This window comes from Homo sapiens, chromosome 11 (genome assembly GCF_000001405.40).
Source record: "Homo sapiens chromosome 11, GRCh38.p14 Primary Assembly".
In the NCBI taxonomy this organism is placed as follows: domain Eukaryota; kingdom Metazoa; phylum Chordata; class Mammalia; order Primates; family Hominidae; genus Homo; species Homo sapiens.
Window position 1 is genome coordinate 93,052,868 of NC_000011.10, and position 3,104 is coordinate 93,055,971.

The following is a 3,104-nucleotide window of genomic DNA, read 5'->3' on the forward strand; positions in this document are numbered from 1 at the left end:
ATGACTATTTTTATAGTAATTAGTCTGGTTATCCGAAGGTGAGAGATGCCTCTCAATTCATGTTTCATTTTTTGCCTATGGATGTGGGGCGGTAACTTTAGCCCATTCCTTTCTTCTCCACATTAGGGGCTGAATGGATGGCCCACCCAATAACCCCATCAGTTCACCCAGATAGGTCCCTGAGCCTCACTTTTGCAAACCTCAGATTTGCTTACAGCAATCTGAAGCAAATAGTTTGGGGGCGACTATGAGGCAGTTCTTACATGTTTCAATAATGCTTGGTGGAATTTTGTTGTACCCCTTCCACCCATGTGTCCAATTATACCATACAGGACAAGGTGAATGAAGATGTTTTATTTTCAAGGTTCAGTAGGGAAGTATGTTTGAAATTGGTTGAGGACTCTAAGCTCTTTCCCCCCGCCAACAAAAAAAAATATTTCTGGGAAATATATTTCTGTCTTCTATATAATGATCATGGCTGTTTGTTGTATGAATGTGACAGAAGCTGCAAGAAAAATGAGTAATCAGATGCCAATACCACCTCTGACACCCCTAGATCAGCAAAAAAGTGCAAGTGGTTTGTCTGCTAATAGCTGGAAATTGTGCTACAAGTATGTGTTGTCGGAAACTTTAAAATCACAAATATGTATGTTTAAATATTAGTATGTAGATAGATGATAATACTGCTGTAGTTGGCTGAAAGGGAAAGAAAAGTCACCATGATGTTAACACAGCAAAGCTATCATCCATCATGAAGGAAATGCTTAGATGCTCACAATAAAAGAATTGAAGTTAGAAACACGGATTATTATGAATACAGCAGATGATGTTAAGGTACAGTGTTTAGGGAGAATGTATCCGACAGCCCCAAGGATTTGGTTGAGACAGAGCTGCTGGCTATTTCTTTATATTTTTTGTTGTTGTTTTGCTGCCATAGAAGCCTCAGTCCCTAGGATAGAGAGGGCATCTCTGTTGTCAGCCTGTGATACAAGCTTTAGCAGCACCAAACTGCCACGGGGCTGCCCCCAGCTTTCCTGAGATACAGTGGGGAGATGCTTTGTGCAGTTCCCCCACACAATGCATCAGAAACATGGGCTCTGGGGCTCTGGGGACCACACAGGAGCTATGGGGAAGGAGGCTGAAGTAGCCAAGAGTAATGATGGGGAGGTTTTATTTATTTATTTATTTATTTATTTATTTATTTATTTATTTATTTTCAGAAACCGAGAATTCCTATGTGAAATTGTTATTGTGCTGAATATGACCCCACATTTTCTTTTGGAAATCCAAACCAGACACTATCTTATACAGACCCCTGACATGTGAGGTGATCATCAGGAGTTTGCAGAGACTTATGGTCAGTGCAAGACCCAGAGGTTTTCATTCCAGCTCCCATTATCAAGAGAAGGTGTAAATAGCCCATCGTCCTCACCCATTTCTGTGCTGTGGAATCCCTGGTTGCAGAGTATTTCAAAGTATACTGATCATAGGTTGATAGCGGTAAAGGATAAAATTGGGAGTGTACATGAAAAGGTAAAATCTGTTCTTCCTACTCAGATGATTCATTGTAGTAATCAGCATCGGGTGGATTCTCATCACTTGGAGACTCACTCATGTCTTGCCGGAGCTCTTACAAAGTGTTGCTAAGGTAGGACACTGCTGGTGCAGGTGGGGATAGTTCACAAGGCTCAGGGTCTTTCTTTCAGAAAAAAAGATACAGAGGAGAGATGTTTCTTTTTTCTTTTTTTTTCCAGCACATGGTTGTTACCCAAAGTTATTTTACTGAATTAGTTTAATTTTTTTTTTTGATGGAAACTAATGAGGTGGTGGCATTCATATAAGAAATTCACTTTTTTGAGTATACTTATGACTGTATATGTACTTCCATCTCTTTGTTACCAGAGAAAATATAAAAACGCAAATACATGACAATGCTATAAATACTGTAATAACCTGGAATCACATCTAATCTACAAAATAATTTTTAATTAAAAAGTAAATCATCTGAAAATAAAGAGATGTTTCTATTAATGTGGCCATGGTGGATGGGAAAGCTCTGTTTCTGAGAGGTCATCAACGCCCCCAAATGGTTTTTGTACTTTCATACTCTGATTATTATTACAAGATGACAAATATGAGGATGCTCCTGGGTTGACTCATATCTGTGGCAAACACCATGTAACTTGTAGTAATAAACACCCATGCAATTGCACACATTCAGGATGATTCAGCTGTCTGTCATCACAGCATGAAAAGTGGCCTACACTGTTTCTCCCTCCTCTGGGCCTCTTCAGATTGGCACAGTGGAAAAACACCACCACAGAGATTAGCTTTCAAGAGAGACACGGAGTGGTGAGTGCTTTTGGTGCACTTCCTCAAAGACACAGGAATGAAAGTTTTGTCAAAAAAATCAGATCAGATTTAAAAATTGTAAGAGTTTATTGTGCACTCAAAAGAATAGCTGGGGAACTGGGAGGCTTCAAACCAGAAGAGGTAAGAAGCTCTGCTTATGGCCAGGCGTGGTGGCTCACGCCTGTAATCCCAGCACTTTGGGAGGCCAAGGCAGGTGGATCATGAGGTCAGGAGATCAAGACCATCCTGGCTAACATGGTGAAACCCTGTCTCTACTAAAAATACAAAACATTAGCCGGGCATGGTAGCGGGCGCCTGTAGTCCCAGCTACTCGGGAGGCTGAGGCAGGAGAATGGGGTGAACCTGGGAGGCGGAGTTTGCAGTGAGCCGAGATGGCGCCACTGCACTCCAGCATGGGCGACAGAGTGAGACTCTGTCTCAAAAAAAAAAAAAAAAAAAAAGAAGCTCTGCTTACAACAGTTACTGTGCAGTTTATAAAGCATTAAGGAGGAAGTATTGTGACCTTTTTTGTAATTGGTTGTTACACATTAACATTCTTTTAGGGCAAGTAGAGCTGTTTAAGCTGATCTGACTTTTGCTGATTAGTTTACTTTTACCGAATCCTGCTGGCAAAAACGTAAAGCTTTTATTTTGTGTTTCATTTATGATTAGGGCTACCATTTCTGAAAAATTAGGATGACTTCAGCTTTGGCTACCTGGCTATGGGCAATTGGCCTTGGATTATATCTAAA

General features: G+C 40.6%; 1 annotated feature.

The window, feature by feature from the left end:
* Positions 1,480–2,679: an enhancer, noted in NCBI's record as "P300/CBP strongly-dependent group 1 enhancer chr11:92787513-92788712 (GRCh37/hg19 assembly coordinates)". NCBI's record gives its function as "activates an origin of replication core promoter dependent on BRD2, BRD4, P300/CBP, MED14 and CDK7 cofactors, with strong dependence on P300/CBP, by STARR-seq in HCT116 cells {active_cell/tissue: HCT116}" and the evidence as "EXISTENCE:reporter gene assay evidence [ECO:0000049][PMID:35650434]".